This window comes from Homo sapiens, chromosome 11 (assembly GCF_000001405.40).
Source record: "Homo sapiens chromosome 11, GRCh38.p14 Primary Assembly".
Lineage (NCBI taxonomy): Eukaryota > Metazoa > Chordata > Mammalia > Primates > Hominidae > Homo > Homo sapiens.
Window position 1 is genome coordinate 1,366,374 of NC_000011.10, and position 20,828 is coordinate 1,387,201.

At 54.5% G+C, this 20,828-nt stretch overlaps 2 annotated features.

The window, feature by feature from the left end:
• Positions 16,625-17,074: a silencer, noted in NCBI's record as "silent region_3054". NCBI's record gives its function as "represses an Ori minimal core promoter by ATAC-STARR-seq in GM12878 lymphoblastoid cells {active_cell/tissue: GM12878}" and the evidence as "EXISTENCE:reporter gene assay evidence [ECO:0000049][PMID:35858748]".
• Positions 17,770-17,943: a silencer, noted in NCBI's record as "fragment chr11:1405373-1405546 (GRCh37/hg19 assembly coordinates)". NCBI's record gives its function as "represses an EF-1alpha promoter that drives an FKBP-Casp9 reporter gene in an ReSE screen in K562 erythroleukemia cells {active_cell/tissue: K562}" and the evidence as "EXISTENCE:reporter gene assay evidence [ECO:0000049][PMID:32094911]".

Genomic DNA, 20,828 nt, shown 5'->3' on the forward strand with positions numbered 1-20,828 from the left:
TGCCGAGACCAGCTCAGTCTGGGAGGCCCTAACCCAGTGGCGCTAGAGGAATTAAAGACACACACACAGAAATATAGAGGTGTGAAGTGGGAAATCAGGGGTCTCACAGCCTTCAGAGCTGAGAGCCCCGAACAGAGATTTACCCACGTATTTATTAACAGCAAACCAGTCATTAGCATTGTTTCTATAGATACTAAATTAACTAAAAGTATCCCTTATGGGAAACGAAGGGATGGGCCAAATTAAAAGAATAGGTTGGGCTAGTTAACTGCAGCAGGAACACGCCCTTAAGGCACAGATCGCTCATGCTATTGTTTGTGGCTTAAGAATGCCTTTAAGCGGTTTTCCGCCCTGGGTGGGCCAGGTGTTCCTTGCCCCCATTCCCATAAACCCACAACCTTCCAGCCTGGGCGTTAGGGCCATTATGAACATGTCATAGTGCTGCAGAGATTTTGTTTATGGCCAGTTTTGGGGCCAGTTTATGGCCAGATTTTGGGAGGCTTGCTCCCAACAACATAAAGCTGCAAAATAGATTTAATCCACATTTTAAAGGCGTTACCACCTGTGAAAGAAGCCAGACACAAAAGACAACACACAGTTTGATTTCACTTTTGTGGAATCCAAGAGTCGGCAAAATGGGCCCGGGGTAATAGAAGTTGGGGTTGCGTTTGCCCACGGAGGGGAGGCTGGAGCGGGTGAGGGGGCATTGGGGCTAGTGGTGACGACATTCCTGGTTCCCTCAAGGGACATGTTGGGCACATGGGAGTGTGGCTCCGCCACAACCCACGCAATCGTATGCACTGAAAACCTTTGCATCTCACTGTCTGTGATGTTTTCCCTCTTGATTTTAAGACAAACCTGTGAGCTAAATGAAGTTGATAAAGCCACATTTGTCACTGGAAATCTTTTTTTTTCTTTTTGAGGCAGAGTCTCACTCTGTCGCCCAAGCTGGAGTGCAGTGGCGCCATCTCGGCTCACTACAAGCTCCGCCTCCTGGGTTCATGCCATTCTCCTGCCTCAGCCTCCTGAGTAGCTGGGACTACAGGCACCTGCCACCATGCCTGGCTAATTTTTTTGTATTTTCAGTAGAGATGGGGTTTCACTGTGTTAGCCAGGATGGTCTCAATCTCCTGAACTCGGCATCTACCCGCCTTGGCCTCCTAAAGTGCTGGGATTACAGGCGTGAGCCACCGTGCCTGGCCTTGTCATTGGAAATCTTAACTCACTTCCTCCGGTAGACAACAAACAAGAAGGAAAAAGATCAATAACTTGACAGGCGTTCTGGAGCCCATGATAGACAGACTTGCTCCCGGAAACACCACCTGTGGAACCCTGCCCCCTCTTTCTGGGTGTAAATGGAACATGGGAGCACACGTCGTGTCATGGCCACAGCACAGATGTCCACATGGTTGAAAGGTTGGCATTGGACAGTGTTCTCTGGGCATGGTGGACCTCTGCCAGGACCCAGGGGTGGGGGTACCAGGAGGCCCCCCCACACTGGGAGATGGAGACCCCGCTCCCAGCCAGGCTGTGTGTGATGGTCGTGTCCCAGCCCTTCTGATGCAGGGCAGGTGAGCCCCAGCGTGGAGCTTGGCCCTTGGGGATTCTTGGCTTTGCCCAGGAAAGAATCCAAGGGCGAGCAGGCAGAGAGCAGCTGCTCAGGGCCGTTTGCATCACGTTTATACCCACTTGTAATTGCATGCACTTTAAAGAGTGGCTCATGCAGAAATTTCTAGGGAAGTGGTAGTAACTTCTGGGCCATCAGGTCGTTGCTGTGGAAAGGGCGGCAAGGCCTGGGTGTTGCCACGTCAACGGTAAATTGACCTGGCACGGCGGAGGGCAGGTCTGATTGGAAAGCTGCTTTCACCCTGCCCTGTTTTACCTAGTCCTCAATCTGGTCCGGTGTCAGAGCCTGGCCTCTGTCACCAAGTCCTGCCCCTACCTCAGCTCCACGTGGCACTCAGGGCTGTACTGGGTCCCTGCTCGCCCACCCGCAACACCCATTTCACCCTGCCCCAAACGCCCCTGTGTTCTGTTGACCCAAAGCCACCTGGAGCCTCCTCCACCCTGTTGGAAAGTGGCCTTGGGCCCTGGCGGGACTGGACGTGACCTCTTACTGCAGGGTCACCCTGCCCTGCGTCTGCCTCCCCAGCCAGGCTGGCCTCTGTGGCTGCCCTCTGGGTAAGCAGTGCCCGCCTCTCCATCTCTCCTCCTGCAGCCATGGCCTAGATGCTGAGTGACCCTGAGCCTCATGCCTCTCACCTGTGACCTTGGGGACACTAAGCCCCTTGTGCAAGGCTGATTTGGTGAGTAGAATAATTTGGGTGAACGGGTTTTAGGAAACTCAGAGCTTGGTTCAGACACAAATCATCATAATTAACTTTGTGAATGGTTTTAGGAAACTCAGAGTTTGGTTCAGATACAAATCATCATTATTAACTTTGCGAATGGCAGAGGAGGTGCCAGGTCCCTGGTGTCACGGGGTTTACAGTCGAGTTGGGGGAGCAGCAAGGACCCACATGAAATCAACTCGACAGATGATGTAATTGCAAAACAAATCATGCACGTGCGTCGGGGACGGGAGCTGGGTGAGCAGTCACCTTCTTGCACCCACGGCCTCCAAGCCCACCTGCTGGGAGCTGACGTGGGCTCCAGCTGAACCCAGGGGCGACCCTCCCGGTGGGAGGCGGGGGTCACTGAGGAGCTCCTGGCCAAGCTCATCGACTCAGCCCTGAGTGGAGCCGACACTCACTGGGCACGTGCAGCCCTTGGAGTCCGGGGTGGACATGTGGCCCTGCAGGAGTCCCAGGGGCTTCCCAGAGGAGGGGATCCCATGCCCCCTGGCCAGACCTCAGAGGCGTGTGTGGGCACCTGTGTGTGCCAGGGAGAACGGGACGGAGGTGTGCGAGGGCACCTGTGTGCGTGCCAGGGAGGGCGGAGATGTGTGTGAGGGCATGTGTGTGTGTGCTGCGGAGGACAGGGAAGGGAAGGGAGAGGAGGTGGCATCCAGGGAAGGGCTGAATGGGGACCTACTGGCCAGTGGAGTGCGGACGCCGGGGTGGAGAGGTCAGGGGAGCCACAGCAGAAGGTCCCAGCCTTCACCCAGGGAACTCAGCAATAGATCAGGGAGGGGTGAACTGGCTGGAACTTCCCACACCTGCTGCTCTGGTCATTTCATGGAGGACCAGAAGGAGGCAGGAGGCGTCTCAGAGCCGCTGTAGCACGAGGTTTTGCGGCTCAGGCCCCAGCTGCGTACCAGGGTCTGGGCACTGTACCCTCCAGGGCTGCAGGAAGGGAGGCAATGGTGGAATGGGGTTGGGGTTGAGGACCCAGCAGTCCAGCGTGGGGTGGCTGGGTGGGAGAGGCGGCGCCAGGCTCCAGGAGCTTCCTGCCTGGGGTCCCCAAAGCTATTGGGATGGGAGAAAGCTGGCCGTGCTCTGGACGGGTGTGGGAGGCCTGTGGCAAGAAAGGGACTCAAGACAGCCCTGGAAGCAGGAGCGAGGGGAACCCAGGTCAGCAGGGGATGGCGCTGGTGTGGCCCGTCATGGGTTCCCAGAGTGGCCTCAGCGACACTTCTGGTCCCACCCGTTCCTTCCAGCCCTGCCACTCAGCAAGAGGTGGGGCCCCCCTGCCCCCATGAGCCCCATGGAGGAGCTGTATGTCACCTGCGGCCCAGCCCAGCTAAGTTCTCCAGGGACAAGCAACGAGGGGGAGGAAGGGAAGGAGGAGGAGGAGGAGGGGCGGTGAGGCTCATCCTGTCTGGGGGTCCTCCTTGGCCGCCCTGAGTGTGTGGGGGACTCTGCCAGGCAGGCACTGGGGCTTGGTGGGGGGCCCTGACCTCCCATGACCTCTCGCCGACCCTCCCCCCGCCCGCTGCCCTCCACGCTGGACGACGGGTGCTGCAGCACCTTCAGGCCCACAGACACCCGGCAGGGTCCCCTCTGTGCCCTCAGTCCATCCTCCCGTTCGTTTGGGCAGCACAGACACTCACAGCAGAGATGGACTTGAATCTGTCCCCAGACCCACACCCAGGGTCCCAGGGCAGCCCATGGGGCAGCAGGGCCGTGCAGGCAGTCGGGAGCTCGGCCTGGGGCCTTGGGGCCTCCTGGCTCCCCCGAGGCACAGGAGTCCCAGGCATGGGTCCCACTGCCCGGCCCTGGGGGGCTGGTCGAAGCCAACGTGGGCTGGGGTCATTGTGCATTTTGGGTTCGGCCAGGCAGTGGCAATGAGGCCAGCAGTCCCTGCATGTGTCGGGGACCAAGGCATACAAACCTTGGACCAAGGCGTTCGGCAGCTGGACCCTGTGTGCTGTCATGGGTGGTGCCGAGGGGAGAGAGCACTGCTGGAGCCTCGGTCACCCGGTGCCATACAGGGCAATGGAGCAGGCTCAAGGACGGCCGTGGCCAGGGCTGGGGATTGTTCTGCTCCGAGTCCCATCTGGGGAAGCCCCCGAGACCTGCCGTCCCCAGGTGACTGTGGAGCACACAGCACCTCGCGGGTCCAGCTGGGAACCAGTGCCTCACCGCTCTGCCCGTCCCACTGGCCTACACCAGGCCCGTGGCCACCTCTGACGTGTGCACCTGTGTCCGTGGAAGGCACCACCAGGGACTGGAGGGAAGCTGGCGGGGACTGGTGGGGCTGGAGGGAGCGGGGGACAGCGACTCACCCCACATCCCCGGCCCTGCGCCCTGGCCTTGCTTGACAGCTGGATGCAGCCTGCCCTGGAGGCTTGTAAGCCTCTGAGGGTGGCACTGGGCGTTCTTGCCATCACTAGACAGCAGCACACCCAGGGCTGGGCAGCGGCGGGAAGGTGCTGAGGGTACTCTCACCTGCTCGGACAGTTGGGAAAGTGGAGACCACAGCACCACAGGGCTCTCCCGGGGCCTCTGTCGTAGGCCTGCAGACACCACCTCTCCCCGCCTCCTCACGGGGCTGTCCATCTGTGCACAGGCTCCCCGGGGGGCGGGCGGGGGGGAAGTGTCCAAGTCTCCTCTTCTTACGGGGAGAAGACCAGAACAGGGCCTGCCCCAAAGACCTCATTTTAACAAAATTCCCCTTTGAAAGGCCCTACCTCCAAATGCAACCACATGGACGTCCTGGGGGTCAGGACTTTGACGCATGAATCTGGGGGACACGATGCAGCCGATGCAGGACGGCATCGGTGACACCCGCCCTCCATGTGCTTTCGCCTGCATAGTTGGGGCCAGCCTGGCTCTGGCCGTCCTCCCGGGGGGCCCCTGCTCCCCAGCCTGAGAATTTGTATCCTCTCCCCTCTAACCCCAGCTGTGGTTTCCGTATTAGAGGGTCAAGAGCAGGGAGACATAAAAGACCAATGCTGATGCCAAGGAGCCAGTGACAGGGGCTGTTCCCCTCAGCAGGGGCCGGGACGGAGGATCCAGGTGGGGCTGGGATCTTCACCAAGAGTGCATGGGACCTCGTGCGGGAGACAGGAGAGGGGAGAGGGGCTGCAGACCAGAGACCCCAGAACACCCACAGGAGGGGGCCGGGTGGGAGGAGTCATGGAGGAGCCCGGGAGGGAGCAAGGGGAAGGGATGGTGGGGGGAGCTGGGGGCCCCGAGCCTGAGGGGAGGCCACGGGACACAGAGCAGGGAGCTCTGTGCACAGGGGCCAAGGGGGCCTTGGGGACCACGGGAGTCCCGGGAGCAGAGGTGCGGCAGGTGCGGGAGAGACCAAGGGAGCGGCCGACCTTGGCGGCCTGCAGTGCCCTTGGCCTCCCCTCGGGTTGGGCTGGCCCATCAGGCTCTGTACCCGCCCTGCTGCGGCTCCACGTCGGGCTGGCGCCGGCTGAGGAACAGAGAAGGAGGACAGGCTCCAGGCCAGGGAGCGTCAGGGAAGGACGAAGGACTCAACCCTTTGAGGGCCAACAGGCCCATGGAGGGAGTCTTCCCTAGCGCCACTGCACCTGCAGCTGCTGTACCAGGGTGGGCCTTCCTCCCTCCCCTGTGGGAACCGGGCCCTCTGGGATCAGCCCCTCAGTGACTGCCGCCGCCCTGTCCCAGCCACTGCACTGAGGCCCAACCATGGCCTCCCTCAGCAAAGGGGCCTCCAGGATTTCACACGGGGTCCCAGCGACTGCACCCAACCATTGGGAGGCTTCACCTTCAGGTGGCCAGAAAAGATGACTAATCCTACCCTGAGCTCACCCTAATCCTAGGCTCCCCCATACCTGAGCTCACCCTAATCCCAGGCTACCCCATGGGGGTCTGGCTACAGGGAGTCTCTGTCCAAAAGTGCCCAGCTTCAGGGATGCTGCAGAGCTGCCTTCGGGGTGGGGGTGACCCACAGACCCCATTCCCCTACAGGGAGGCAGGAACCTTTTGTGGGGCTCATTCACAGAAGGGGCTGGAGACCCAAGAGCCACGGCTCTTTGGGATGGTGGATAGGACAAAGGTTTCTCCAGGGAACCAGCGCAACGTATGCCAGATGGCCACACCCCCAGCCACAGATGGCCTCACACCAGAGACAGGTCAAGGTCAAGTGATGGAGCCGGGCGCGGTGACTCACGCCTGCAGTCCCAGCACTTTCAGAGGCCAAGGAGAGAGGCTCACTTGAGCCCAGGAGGTCGAGACCAGCCTGGGCAACATAGGGAGACCTCATCTCTACAAAAATAAAAATAAAAATAAAAATAAAAAAATATAAAATAATAATAGTAATAATTAGCAGGGCGTGGTGGCATGCACCTGTGGTCCCAGCTGCTTGGGAGGCTGAGGTGGGAGGATGGCTTGAGCCCAGGAAGTCGAGGCTGCAGTGAGCTAAGATCGCACCAGGCACTGCAGCCTGGGTGACAGAGAGACCCTGTCTCAGTAAAAGAAGATCAGGCGACCAGTCCTGGTATTGAGGGGGATCTGGAGAACCAAGAGAAAATCTCTTATTAAACGCAGATTTCACAGAAAACAATAACTTTACAAAACTGGAAATCTACCAGCCTTTTAGGCATGAGGAATTGTCACGCAGGGTTGCCTAGCGATGGACAGGCACATTTCAAGAAATACGGGCTCAACCCATCGAGCCGTATTAACTTTAATTATTAACGTTCAGTGTAATTATGAGCTATCTTTCTCCTTGCATCCGAGGAAAGCTCTGTTCCTGTGCAGTGGGGCTGTGTGGCCCTGTTCTGGGGGTGAGAGAATGTCTGATGTACTTCTCCTAAATCTGAAAAACAAATAATAGTAATGATAAAAAACAAATTGAAATCGTAAATAAACGGTCTCACTACAGGCGAGGTGCAGGTGGATGGGAAGGCAGGGCTGGGGCACCCCTGCGGCCGTGGTGGCTGTTCCCCAGCGGGGACCTCGCCATGGTCTCGAGAGCCATATTTCATTAAACAAATAAATACAAAGACAGTCATGCTAAAAATTCATGGAATGTTAAGCCACAATTCACCAGACTATAAACACCATTCCGTCTTCATATTCCTGTTATCGGTCAGAGGTGGAGGCTCCTCATGGTGCATTTTCGGCTCAATTGCTTTGGACACAGTTTCTTTCTACATCACTTCTTCGTGGCTATCTCAGGAAGGGACAGGAGGGAGGAGAGTGGCCTCCTGGGCTCCTGTGGCCTCGGCATGCCGTGCTTTGTTAGTAAGCCTGATGTCAGGCGTGGCCTCCCCTCTTTCCTCCTTTGCGGGTGGGGCCCATTGTCCCTCCTCACTCCGCTCCGGTTAACCACCACGATGCTGGTTGTGTGGACTCGGCCTGTTCCTCTTGAGGAATGGGATTCATGCTCCAAAAGTATCCAGCCTGCACCTGGGAGCCCCTCGGAGATGACGCCTTCCTTCCTGCCCCTCCCACCCTGCACCCAGCACCAGCTAGAGACAGCCTGGTGCAGCCCCCAGAAGTCCATGGAGGGGAAAGTGGGAAAAACCCCACTTTTAAGAATGTGACCCCCATGTTTTTCCCAGCTTGTTTAAGCATTTAAAAAATTGTTCTGAAATATACATAAAAGGCACCACCTGACACATTCTAAGTGTATACAGTTTGGGAGCATTCAGTACGTTTGCACTGATACGGTTTGGCTCTGTGTCCCCGCCCAAATCTCAGGTGGAATTGTAATCCCCAGAGTTGGGGGTGAGGCCTGGTGGGGGGCGATTTTAGTGCCGTCCCTGGGTGCTGTCCTCCCCACCCGGCCTGAGTTCTCTCTAGCTCTGGGTGTTTAAGGATGCAGCAGCTCCCGCTCACTCTTTTGCTGCTCCTGTCAGGTTAGACCAGCCTGCTTCCCCTCGCCTTCCGCCACGATTGAGAGTCTCCTGAGGCCTCCCCAGAAGCCAAGCAGACACCAGCATCAGGCTTCCCCTGCAGCCTGAAGAACCGTGAGCCAATTCAGCCTCTTTTCTGTATCAAGTACACAGTCTCAGGTGATTCTTTATAGTGGCGCGAGAATGGGCGAATACATGCTGCACTGCGCAGCCCTCCCCCCGCCCCCCGCAGCCTGCTCTCGGGCTTTCTATACCCCCACCTCCTCCTTGCTCACGGCTGATGGATACCTAGCGAGGAGGGGAACTGCAGGGGCTCTCACGGGCAGCAGGCAGAGCTGTGGGCTTTCATCTGAGGCCGGGTCTGAAGGTTCCTACGCTCCCAGACATCTGACCCCTCCACTCCCTCCCACCCATGTACGGAAGCCCCACCCAGGCTGGGCTGAGCCTCCTGGGGCCCCAGGGCGGTTGCCCACCTCTGAGTCCCTGGAAGGTCTTTCTGCAGCCTGTGGCTGGGTCCTGCCCCCTGGGACTTGGGCCCTTTGGCCTCGGAGCCACCCAGGAACAAGGCCCCCATCTTTCTCCAGCACAGCCTGTGCTAATGAGAGGCAGACACAGACTCCGAGCCCCCTTGCACCCCTGTTTCCCTCCTCAGCTGCCCAAAGAGTGGGCAGGAACCGTCACCCTTGGGCTACAGAGGCTGGGCCCTCCAACCCCAGCAGACAGAGGTTCTGGGAGCCGCCTCAGCACGACCCAGCAAGGGTGGGCAGTGGGGACTGGCCACGGGGTGCTCCCAGCGCCTCCCACCCCCTCAGCTCTCCTTCCCGCACCCTGAGTCCAGGGGATGGGGTAGCGGCCAGCCCAGCTGGGAAGAGAGTGGAGCTTTCACTTGGGGTGCCCCAGGGTGAGCTGGGGGTATTGAGGGGGTGACGCAGGTGGGCAGCACTTGGCCCTCACAAAGGTTATCATTTTCACAGCAGAGAGTAAGGCTGCCAGACACAGCTCTGGGATCTGCTCTGGTCCCCTCGACGGTGGGTGGCCAGTGACCCACCTGGTGAGCCCGGCGGACAGGATCGTGTCCTTGGGGATACGGGACTGGCGCCTGTGAGGCAGGGCCCGGCCCGAGGAGCCTCCGGGTCCTGCTGGGTTCTTGGCCTCCGTCCACCATGCACCTCCCATCCCCTCAAGCCTCTTCTCCCACACCCCTCCCTCCTCGCCTCTCAGGGCCCCTGTGGCACCTTCGTAGCATCCCAGCTTATGTGACCTCAGGTTACACAAGCAGCAGCCTGGGGCACCTCTGGGCTTCTCTGTTAAATCATCAGGAGGACCTGGCGGGCTGCACATAGGCAGACGGTCCACGGAGCCACAGCCGGGACCCGCACAGAACCACTCGGGGCCCAGCCCTAGATGAGAGCTCAACAGCGAGGAGAGCCCTGACCTGGAGCGACAGCCCGAGGCCCCTGCTGCACTTGAGCTGCAGAGAGGGAGGCCATGAGCTCCGACATCACAGATGGAAGGCCGAGCGCAGTGGCTCACGCCTGGAATCCCAGCACTGTGGGAGGCCGTAGCAGGCGGATCGCCTGAGGTCGGTGGGTCACGTGAGGTCAGGAGTTCGAGACCATCCTGGCCAACATGACGAAACCCCATCTCTACTGAAAACACAAAAATTAGCCAGGCATGGTGGCAGATCTCTGTAATCCCAGCTACTTGGAAGGCGGAAGCGGGAGAATCACTTGAACCCAGGCGGCAGAAGTTGCAGAGAGCTGAGATCTTGCCACTGTATTCCAGCCTGGGTGACAGAGTGAGACTCTATCTCAAAAAAATAAAAAATAAAATAAAATAAACACAGATGGGAAAATGTCCCCAGCCCCCAAAATACCACAATGAATCCGAAAGCCAAACGATCTGGGAAAGAAACATTTCTACATGTACGCCACAGAGAATGCTAATATCTTCCGTTTACAAAGGGCTTTATAAATCAGTATTAAAAACCGGAAAGGACATGAACAACTCACAAAAGAAAAAGGCAAATGGCTACTAAATACATGGAAAAAATGCGGAGCCTCAGCAGTGAATGAAAACGTGCAGGGTAACAAGCGTCAGAGCTCGGCCCATGAGGGCACACCAGGGTGGCTGGTTCACATCCACAGTTGATGGAGGAAGGAACGGGCGTGAGCCCATGGCCGTAAAATCAGTGCAACTCGGCCCGGCGCGGTGGCTCATGCCTGTAATCCCAGCACTTTGAGAAGCCAAGGAGGGAGGATTTCTTGAGTTCAGGAGTTCAAGACCAGCCTGGGCAAGATGGTGAAACCCTATCTCTACAAGAAATACAAAAATTAGCCAGGAGTAGTGGTACATGCTTATAGCCTCAGCTACTCAGGAGGCTGGGGTAGGAGGGTTGCTTGAGCCCAGAAGGCTGCAGTGACCTGAGATTGCACCACTGCACTCCAGCCTGGGCGACAGTCGCCATGCTGACCGTTATGGGGTCAACTGCATCCCCCCAAAATTCAGAGGTTAAAGTCCTAGCCCCCAGGGCCTCAGAATGTGTCTGTATCTGAGGAGAGGGTCTTTAAAAAGGTAATTGATTTTAAATGAGGTCCCTGGGATGGGCCCTAATCCAATAGGACTGGTGTGTTATAAGAGGAGCAGATGAGGACACAGACACACACAGAAGGATGACCACGTGAGGATGCAGGGAGAAGGCGGTGTCTGCAAGCCGAGGAGAGAGACCTTGGGAGGAACCAGCCCTGACACCTTGATCTCCGGCTCCAGCCTCGAGGACTGTGGGACAATCAGTGTCTGTTGTCCAAGCCGCCTGGTCCTGGGTGCTTTGTCTTGGCAGCCATAGCAGATGAATGCACTGGCGTTTGGTGAAAAACTGGCAGGCTTTGAGGGAGTGAGTCAAGTGCATGGGAAGGGAAGGCCCTCTGGGCCAAGTCCAGGGTGGTGGCCTGAGGCAAGCGTGTGCCCACCACACAGCACCGTGAGGAGAAGCCGGCCAGCTGGAGCAGTGCACGGCACGTGAGTGAGTGGGAGATGAGGTCAGAGAGATGGGGGGCACCTTGGCTTTGACCCTGAGTGAGAAGGGCTCACGGAAGAGTTGCAAGCAGATGGGGGATGGACTCTGCCTTATGTTCTTAGAGGGTCCCTCGGAGCCTGTGTTTACCTCATAAGGGGCCAAGGGTAAAAGTCAAAGGCCACAGAGAACTCATCAATATGAATATACATGTTATACCAACAAATTAAATTATTTAGTTGAACAAATTAGATCATTTAACTGGATAAATTAGGTAAGTTAGTTGAAATGGACAAATTCCTAGAAAAACACAATCTACCAAAATGGACTTAAGAAGAAACAGAAACACTGAATAAACAAGATTAAAGGAATAATTTAAAAATTTCCTGAAGGAACAAACTCTGGACCAGATAGCTTCACTGGTGAATTCTACCAAACACCTAAGGAAGAATTAATACCAATCCTTCACAAACTCTTCCAGGAAATCAAAGAGGAGGGGACATGTCCTAATTCATTCCATGGGGGCAGAACCATCCTGACACCCAAATCAGACAACGACATCACAAGAAAAGAGTTATAGGCCGGGTGCGGCGGCTTACGCCTGTAATCCCAGCACTTCAGGAGGCCGAGGCAGGCAGATCACTTGAGGTCCGGAGTTCGAGACCAGCCTGGCCAACAGGGTGAAACCCCATCTCTACTAAAAATACAAAAATTAGCCGGACGTGGTAGCGCATGCCTGTAATCCCAGCTACTAGGGAGGCTGAGGCAGGAGAACTGCTTGAACCCAGGGGGCGGAGGTTGCAGTGAGCTGAGATCACGCCACTGCCCTCCAACCCTCCAGCCTGGGCAAAGAGTGAGACTGTCTCAAAAAAAAAAAAAAAAAAAAAAAAAGGCAGCTATGCAGCTATAGATCAATATCCTTTCTGAATATACACACAAAAATCCTTCTACAAAATATTAGCAAACTGAATACAGTGACACAGAAAAGGATTATATATCATGACCAATTTCTGGAGCCTATCCCAGGAGTGCAAGGCTGGTTTAAATTCAAAAATCAGTTAATGAAATACACCGTATCAATAGGATAAAAAACAAAGCCACACGATCATCTTAACTGATGCAGTAAACACATTTGACAACATCCAACATGCTTTCATAATTAAAAAAAAATCAACAAAGTAGGAATAGAAGTGAATATCTCCCACCTGATAAAGAGCAATTTTTTTGTTTGTTTTTTGGTTTTTGATTTTTTTCCTGAGACGGAGTCTTACTCTGTCGCCCAGGCTGGAGTGCAGTGGCACGATCCCAGCTCACTGCAACCTCTGCCCTCCGAGTTCAAGTGATTCTCCTGCCTCAGCCTCCCGAGTAGCTGGGATTACAGCACGTGCCACTGCGCCTGGCTAATTTTTTGTATTTTTAGTAGAGATGGGGTTTCATCATCTCGGCCAGGCTGGTCTTGAACTCCTGACCTTGTGATCCACCCACCTCAACCTCCCAAAGTGCTGAGATTATAGGCGTGAGCCACCACGCCCAGCTGATAAACAGCATTTTTTTTTTAAAAGCCACAGCTAACATCATTCTTTTTTTTGTTTTTTTGAGATGGAGTCTCACTCTGCCGCTCAGGCTGGAGTGCAGTGGTGCAATCTCGGCTCACTGCAAGCTCCACCTCCTAGGTTCACGCCATTCTCCTGCCTCAGCCTCCTGAGTAGCTGGGACTACAGGCGCCCGCCACCACGCCTGGCTAATTTTTTTGTATTTTTAGTAGAGACGGGGTTTCACCATGTTAGCCAGGATGATCTCGAACTCCTGACCTCGTGATCTGTCTGCCTCGGCCTCCCAAAGTGCTGGGATTACAGGTGTGAGCCACCGCGCCCGGCCAGCTAACATTATTCTTAATGATGAAGGACTGCTGCTTCTCCCCTAAGATCAGGAAAAGACCAGGATGTTTGCTTTCACCACTTCTATTTGACATTGTACTGGAGATTCTAGACAGGGTAATCAGTCAAGGAAAAGAAACGAAACACATCCAGATTGGAAAGGAAGAAGTAAAACTATCTCTATTTGTAGGTGACATAAACTGGTATATAGAAAATCCTAATGAATCCACTGAAAAGCCATTAGAACAAGTTCTAACAAACAAGTTCAGCAACATTGCAGGGTGCAGATCAATATGCAAAAATCAATTCTATTTCTGTGTGCTAGCCATGAACAATCTGAAAAGGAAATTAAGAAAACAATTCCGGCTGGGCATGGTGGCTCACGCCAGTAATCCTAGCACTTTGGGAGGCTGAGGCGGGTAGATCACGAGGTCAGGAGATGGAGACCATCCTGGCTAACACGGTGAAACCCCGTCTCTACTTAAAATACAAAAAATTAGCCGGGCGTGGTGGTGGGCACCTGTAGTCCCAGCTACTCGGGAGGCTGAGGCAGGAGAATGGCGTGAACCTGGGAGGCAGAGCTTGCCGTGAGCCGAGATCGTACCACTGCACTCCAGCCTGGGCGACAGAGCGTTACTCCATCTCAAAAGAAAAAAAAAGAAAAGAAAAGAAAACAATTCCATTTAAAATAGCATCAAAAGGAATAAAATACTTAAAAATAAGTTTAATAAAAAATGTGCAAAGCTTGTTCTCTAAAAACCACAAAACACTATTGAAAGAAATTAAAGAAGACCTAAATAAATGGTAAGATATCCCATGTTCATGGATTAGAATTCTTACCATTGTTAAGATGACAATACTCCCCAAATTAATCTACACCTTCAATGCGATTGCTGTTAAAATCTCAGCTGCCTTTTTTACAGAAATTGACAAGCTGAGTCTAAAATTCATATGGGCTGGGCATGGTCTACAGTTACATGGATAAGTAAGGCATGGTCTACAGTGTCCGTGTGACGGAACATTATTCAGCCACAGAAGGAAGGAAATGCCGACACATTCCGCAACATGGATGGGCCTCAGAGACGCTGTGCCTAGGGAAAGAAGCCAGACACAAAAGGCTACATATTGTGTGATCCTGTCCGTGTAAAATGTCCAGAACAGGCAAATCCACTGAGTGAGGAGATAGATCTGTGGTTGCCTGCAATCGCAGGGGCAGGGAGTGGGGAGTGTGTTTAATGGATGTGGGGTTTCTGGGGGGATGATGAAAATGTTCCAAAATTGATTGCAGTGATGGCTGCGTGGTTCTTTGAATACACTAAAAAATACAAATCACTGAATTGAGCCATTTAAATTGGTGAATGGTCTGGGCGCGGTGGCTCATGCCTGTAATCCCAGCACTTTGGGAGGCTGAGATGGGTGGATCACCTGAGATCAGGCGTTCAAGACCAGCCTGGCCAACATTGCAACACGCTGTCTCTACTAAAAAGGCAAAAATTAGCGCACGCCTGCAATCCCAGCTACTCGGGAGGCTGAGGCAGGATAGTCGCATGAACCCAGGAGGCAGAGGTTGCAGTGAGCCCAGATCGCACCACTGCACTCCAGCCTGGGTGACAGAGGGAGACTCCGTCTCAAAAAAAAAAAAAAAAAAAAAAAAAAAAAAGAAAGATGTACATCTGTCGTTGCCTGAAATTGCAGGGGCAGGGAGTGGGGAGTGTGTTTAATGGATGTGGGTTTTTGGGGGGGATAATGAACATGTTACAAAATTGATTGTGGTGATGGCTGCACAGTTCTGTAAATACACTAAAAAATACACATCACTGAATTGTGCAGTGTGAATTGGTGAATTGTATGATACGTGAATTATATTTTAATAAAGCCGTTAAACATTTTTAACGGAAAGGAGGATGTTACAAACATCACATTTAGCAGAAGACAGCTGGCAGACACAGAGCTAGAGGTGAACTAGTGGTTTGCTCTAGGTGGTGGGACCAGAGGTGATTTTTATTGTCTTTTCATTTGGCTACATTTTTCAAAATTTCTTCAATACCCATACATGTATTTGTCAATTTAGAGCCACATAGCATCACTTTCTCAACTGTCTTTTCAGACACATTGGTCCCACCCTCCTGTCTAAATCTTGGCTATCAGCTCATCCTGCTGCCTCTCCCTCCCCATTCCTGGCTTCTCTCAACAGGAAGAGGAGCAGGGGCCTCTGCGTCAAAGGCCGGCTTTGGGTAAGTCAGGTCACCACTCTGACCCTCAGAATCCTCTTCCCCACTGCGGGAGCTGTACCTTGCTTCCATGACACTCTGTCCCCTGCTTTCCTCCCGCTGCTCTGCTCCTTCTCTCCCGGGGCCTTCCCTTACTGCACCATCCCTCCGTGTCGCCCTCCCCACCCTCTGGCCTGTCTTCTCACTCTGCAAGCCCTCCTTGGGTGTCTGGCTCCTGGGTGGGCAACGCTTACCTCTGTGTGCTGGTGACCTGCAGAGCTTCCAGGACAATGTGTGCAGTGTGGAGCTGACCCCCCTGCCACCCCCAGCAAGGGCCACCTGGGCACTGCCCTTCCCAGGCTTCCCTCCTTGTCCCTCAGTGGGGGCCATCGTGGGGGTCTGAGCACACATGCTCGGCAGATGCTGGATCTGTGCTGGGCTTCTGAGCATCAGAGGCCTCAGTGTGCCCCTCCAGGCTTCCTGGTCACCTCCATTGGGTGCAGCAGGAAGCCCCCGGGCTGGGGCAGGGACAGGAGCTCAGATGGAGACAGGAGGTTCAACAGCTAATGTCCCCACTGTGACAGGCTCTGCTTTCCACCAGTGTGGCTGGGAGCACCTGGTGGTGGGGACACCCAGAGGGGCCTGGGTGGGAGACCCCCGCACCTGCTCCCACCTGCACACTGACCTCCCGCCTGTCTCTATGGGGGACTCTGGCCACCTATGTACAACAGAGGGGGAATTAGACTGTGGCCACCCTCTCCAGAACTGCACCCCGTTCCTTTCTGCAGCAGGACGGGCTGGCCAAGAGCAACCGATTGTCGAGATAAGAGGCCGATAGCTGTCGGGCACGGAGCTGGTGGGCGCCAGGCTGGCGGGGCGTGGGGCAAGCCTCCGGGAAGCGACTGATGAGAGAGCAGCGGGAGGACCAGAGGTGATGACGAAGGCAGGGCGGGAGTGGGACGGGGGCCGCACAACAGAGACCCTAACCTGAGCCCGCTGACCCAGCCGTCTGACCCCTGTCCAGGGACAGGTGGGTGCGGGGTGTGAGCAGAGAGGACGGAGGCAGGTGTGGCTGTGGGCAGGGTGGCTTCTCTAAGGTCCCCCGTGGTAGTGGGGGATCTTTTTGTAGGACGGAGTCATGGGCAGCCTGGGCCAGCCAGGGAGGCCCTGCCAGTGGGGAAGGAGGTGGCTGCTCCTACGGCTGGGCCAGAGGTGTCCCTGATGTCCGTGGATGGTCCTGGCAACCAAGAAAGCGGCTGCTCTTCCTCCTCCACACAGCCACCTTGGTGAGGGAGACGGGGCGGGTCAGGGACGGGGCGGGCGCAGGAAGCCCAGCTCTCAGGCGGTGAAGGGGGCGGGTCCAGGAGGGGGTGTGAGGCTGGCTGGGAGGCCCCGGGAATGCGCGCGACGGCAGGCCGTCTGCCCACCCGTGCCACCTGCCCTCCCCCCACGGGCCCTCGGCCCAGCTCCTGGTGGCCGTGAGCTTGTCCCGCAGCTCGGAGATGCTGCTTAGCGGGGCGCCTCGTCATTGGTCGTGCGCCTGCTCAGTCTGGGGCAGGGGCTGGGACAGCGTCTTTAATCCCCGGTGCCGGTGCGGGGATCAGGGCAACGTGGAGTGAGACAGCGAAGGGATGGCGCCGTGAGCCCTCAGCGCGGGGAGACACACGCCGGGCCGGGGCGCCAGGAGCGGGGGTGGCGGGGAGGGGAGGGAGGGAAGGCTGGTGACGTCAGTGGTTCCAGTTCCGCAGCAGCGGAGGCCGCGGCCGGGGACGTGAGACACCAGCTGACGCCCGGAGCCTCACAACCTCTGCACACACATTCTCCTGAGGGCCGGTGCCTGGAAACAAAGGCCACCCCCGCCGGCCGGAAACTTCTAGGCTGGCAATGGAGATGGGACATCTGGTGACCCCCTCTGTATCCTCCTCTCCCTTGGGGTCCTCCAGGAAGGGCTGCGTGATCAATGACCCACTTTTTTGTTTTGTTTTTGAGATGGCCTCTTGTTCTGTCTCCCAGGCTGGGGTGCAGTGGTGTGACCTAGGTTCACTGCAACCTCCACCTCCCGGGTTCAAGCGATTCTCCTGCCCCAGCCTCCCTCGTAGCTGGGACTGCAGGTGCGTGCCACCGCGCCCGGCTAATTTTTTTTTTTTTTTTTGAGACGGGGCCTCCCTCTGTCGCCCAGGCTGGAGTGCAGTGGCGCTATCTCAGCTCACTGTAAACTCCACCTCCTGGGTTCATGCCATTCTCCTCCCGAGTAGCTGGGACTACAGGTGCCCTCCACCACGCCTGGCTAATTTTTTTTTTTTTTTTTGTATTTTGTTTTTTTAGTAGAGACGGGGTTTCACCGTGTTAGCCAGGTGAAACCCGGCCAGGTCTTGATCTCCTGACCTCGTGATTCGCCCACCTCAGCCTCCCAAAGTGCTGGGATTACAGGCATGAGCCGCCGTGCCAGGCCAATTTTTGTATTTTTAATAAAGTCGGGGTTTCACCATGTTGGCCAGGCTGGTCTTGAACTCCTGACCTCAGGTGATCTGCCTGCCTTGGCCTCCCACAGTGCTGGGATTACAGGCATGAGCCACTGCCCCCAGCCTCAATGACCCACTTGTCCACTGGCCTGCACTTACATCCTCAGGCAGCTGGAGCCGCCTCCTGCAGGAAGCCCTCCCCCTGCCACCCACCCACCCACCCACCCAAAGGCGGGGCTTCCCCTTGGGTTGCCATGGACCTTGTGGCCGGCAGGGCACCCGGTGCACCCAGGTGTGTCTCCCCGCGTGGCCCACAGGCTCTTCTGGGTGGAGCTCAGAAGAGCCTCTGCGCAGCTTTACTGAAGTAAGATTGTACGTATATGATTCGATGAGTTTAGCAAACAAGCCAGCCGTCAGGATGTGCAAGAATTCCTATCGCCCTGGACCCACAGCCACCCCTCTGCCTTCTGTAGCTACAGTTTTGCCTTTTCCATAATATCATAGAAATAGAATCATACAGCACATGGCTTTCTGAGGCCAGATTCTTTCACTTGGCCTAATGTGTTTGAGATTTGCCCACATCTCAGCCACGCTTCCTGGCCCGCTGTGGTCACGGCTGAGTCGCGTTCCCCGTGTGGGTGCACCACAGCCTGTCTGTCCAGTCATCACCCAAGGACAACGGGGTTCTTTCCACTTCTTGGCTGTTACTAATAAAGTGGCTATGAACATTTGCATGCAAGTTGTGTGTGGCCGTAAGTTTTCTTTTTCTTGGGAAAATAGCTGTAAGAGGGATTGTTGGATCGTATGGTAACGGTGTGTCTAATTTTATAAGAAACTGACAGACTGGTTCCCAAAGCATCATTTTGCACTCCCATCTGCAACGTCTGAGAGTTCGAGGTGCTTTGTGTCGTCTAAATTTCCGTCATCATTTTTTTGAGGCAGGGTCTCACTCTGTTGCCCAGGCTGGAGCGTAGTGGCTCTATGGTGGCTCACTGAAGCCTCCATCTCTCCAGTTCAAGCAATTCTCCCACCTCAGCCTCCCAGGGAGCTGGGACTACAAGTGTGGAGTCCTGGTGTGTAGCCATGCCTGGCTATTTTATTTTTATTTTTCATAGAGATAATGTGTTAGGCTGTTCTTGTGTTGCTATAAATACCTGAGACTGGTAGTTTATTTTAAAAAGAGGTTTAATTGGCTTATGGTTCTGCAGGCTGTAAAGGAAGCATGGCATCCGGAAGCTTCCAATAACGGTGGAAGGCAAAGGGGGAGCAGGGGTCTCACACGGCAGAAGTGGGAGCAAGAGAGAGTGGGAGGGGAGGCTCCCACTTAACCAGATCTCACGAATACTCACCATTGCAAGGACAGCACCAAGCCCCGAGGAATCCACCCCATGACCAAAACATCTCCCAGCAGGCCCCATCTCCAACACTGAAGATTCCATTTCAACATATGTCTGGGCGGGGACAAATACCCAAACTATATCAGATGGAGTCTTGCTATGCTGCCCAGGCTGGTCTCAAATTCCTGGGCTCAAGCTATCCTCCCACCTTGGCCTTCCAAAGTGCTGGCAGTACAAGCATGAGCCACTGCACCTGGCAGCTTGTCAATTTCTAAAAAAAAAAAAAAAAAAAAAGAGAAAATTTAAAAAATCAAATTAAAATTAAATCGATTACTTGGGCCTTGTTAAGTCTCACTTAATATACTGAGAGATGTATAATCGTTTTTTGTGTACAGATCTCATGCAAATTCTGATAAATTTACCCCTAGTATTTCGTGGTTTTTAAATTCTCTTTGTAAGTGGTACTGTTTTCATAATTTCAACTTCTAATTGATGGTTAGCACACAAATAGAATTGACCTTTTTTTGGCTTTGTACCCTGTGGCTTTGGTAAACTTACTTATTCGTTTTAGTACCAGTTTGTAGCTTAGAATTTTCTGCAGACAATAATGTTATCTTCTTGTTTTACTTTCTGACATGGAGTTTTGCTCTTGTTGCCCAGGCTGGAGTGCAATGGCATGATCTCGGCTCACTGCAAACTCTGCCTCGTGGGTTCAAGCGATTCTCCTGCCTGAGCCTCCTGAGTAGCTGGGATTACAGGTGCCCATCACCAAACCCAGCTAATTTTTGTATTTTTAGTAGAGACAGGGTTTCACCAGGTTGGCCAGGCTGGTCTCGAACTCCTGACCTCAGGTGATCTGCCCGCCTCAGCCTCCCAAAGTGCTGGGATTACAGACGTGAGCCACCGTGCCCGGCCATTAATGTTATCTTCTAATAAAGATCACCTAAAATTTCCTTTTTGGCTGGGCACGGTGGCTCACGCCTGTAATCCCAGCACTTTGGGAGGCCGAGGCGGGTGGATCATGAGGTCAGGAGATCGAGACCATCCTGGCTAACACGGTGAAACCCCGCCTCTACTAAAAATAAAAAAAAATTAGCCGGGCGTGGTGGCGGGCACCTGTAGTCCCAGCTACTTGGGAGGCTGAGGCAGGAGAATGACGTGAACCCGGGAGGCGGAGCTTGCAGTCAGCCGAGATCGGGCCATTGCACTCCAGCCTGGGCGACAGAGCAAGACTCCATCTCAAAAAAAAAAAAAAAATAATAATAATAATAAAAAATTTCCTTTTCAACTGGTACAAATTTTGTCTTCCTTGCCTCATTACTTCGGCATGTACTCTGGCACGACACTGAAATAAATGATGATGATGGACAACCTTGCCCCATCCCTGACCCAAGGAAAAGCTTTCAGTTTCTCACCACTAAGCCTGACATTAGCTGTGGGTTTTTGTAGTTTCCCTTTGTTGGGTTGGGAGTGCAGGAGCAGAATAGATTCGAATCTTCTCCTCCTGGTTTACTGAGAGCCTTTGTCGTGAATGAGTGCTGAATTTTGTTGAATGCTTTCCTTGCATCTGTGGAAATGACCGTGTGGTTTTTCTGTGTTGGTCTGCTAATAGTGAATGACAATTGATTTTGAAATGTTAAACTAACTTTGCATTCCCGGGTACGCTCCACAAGGTCATATGTGTTCTCTTTATATATTGCTGGAATTGATTTGA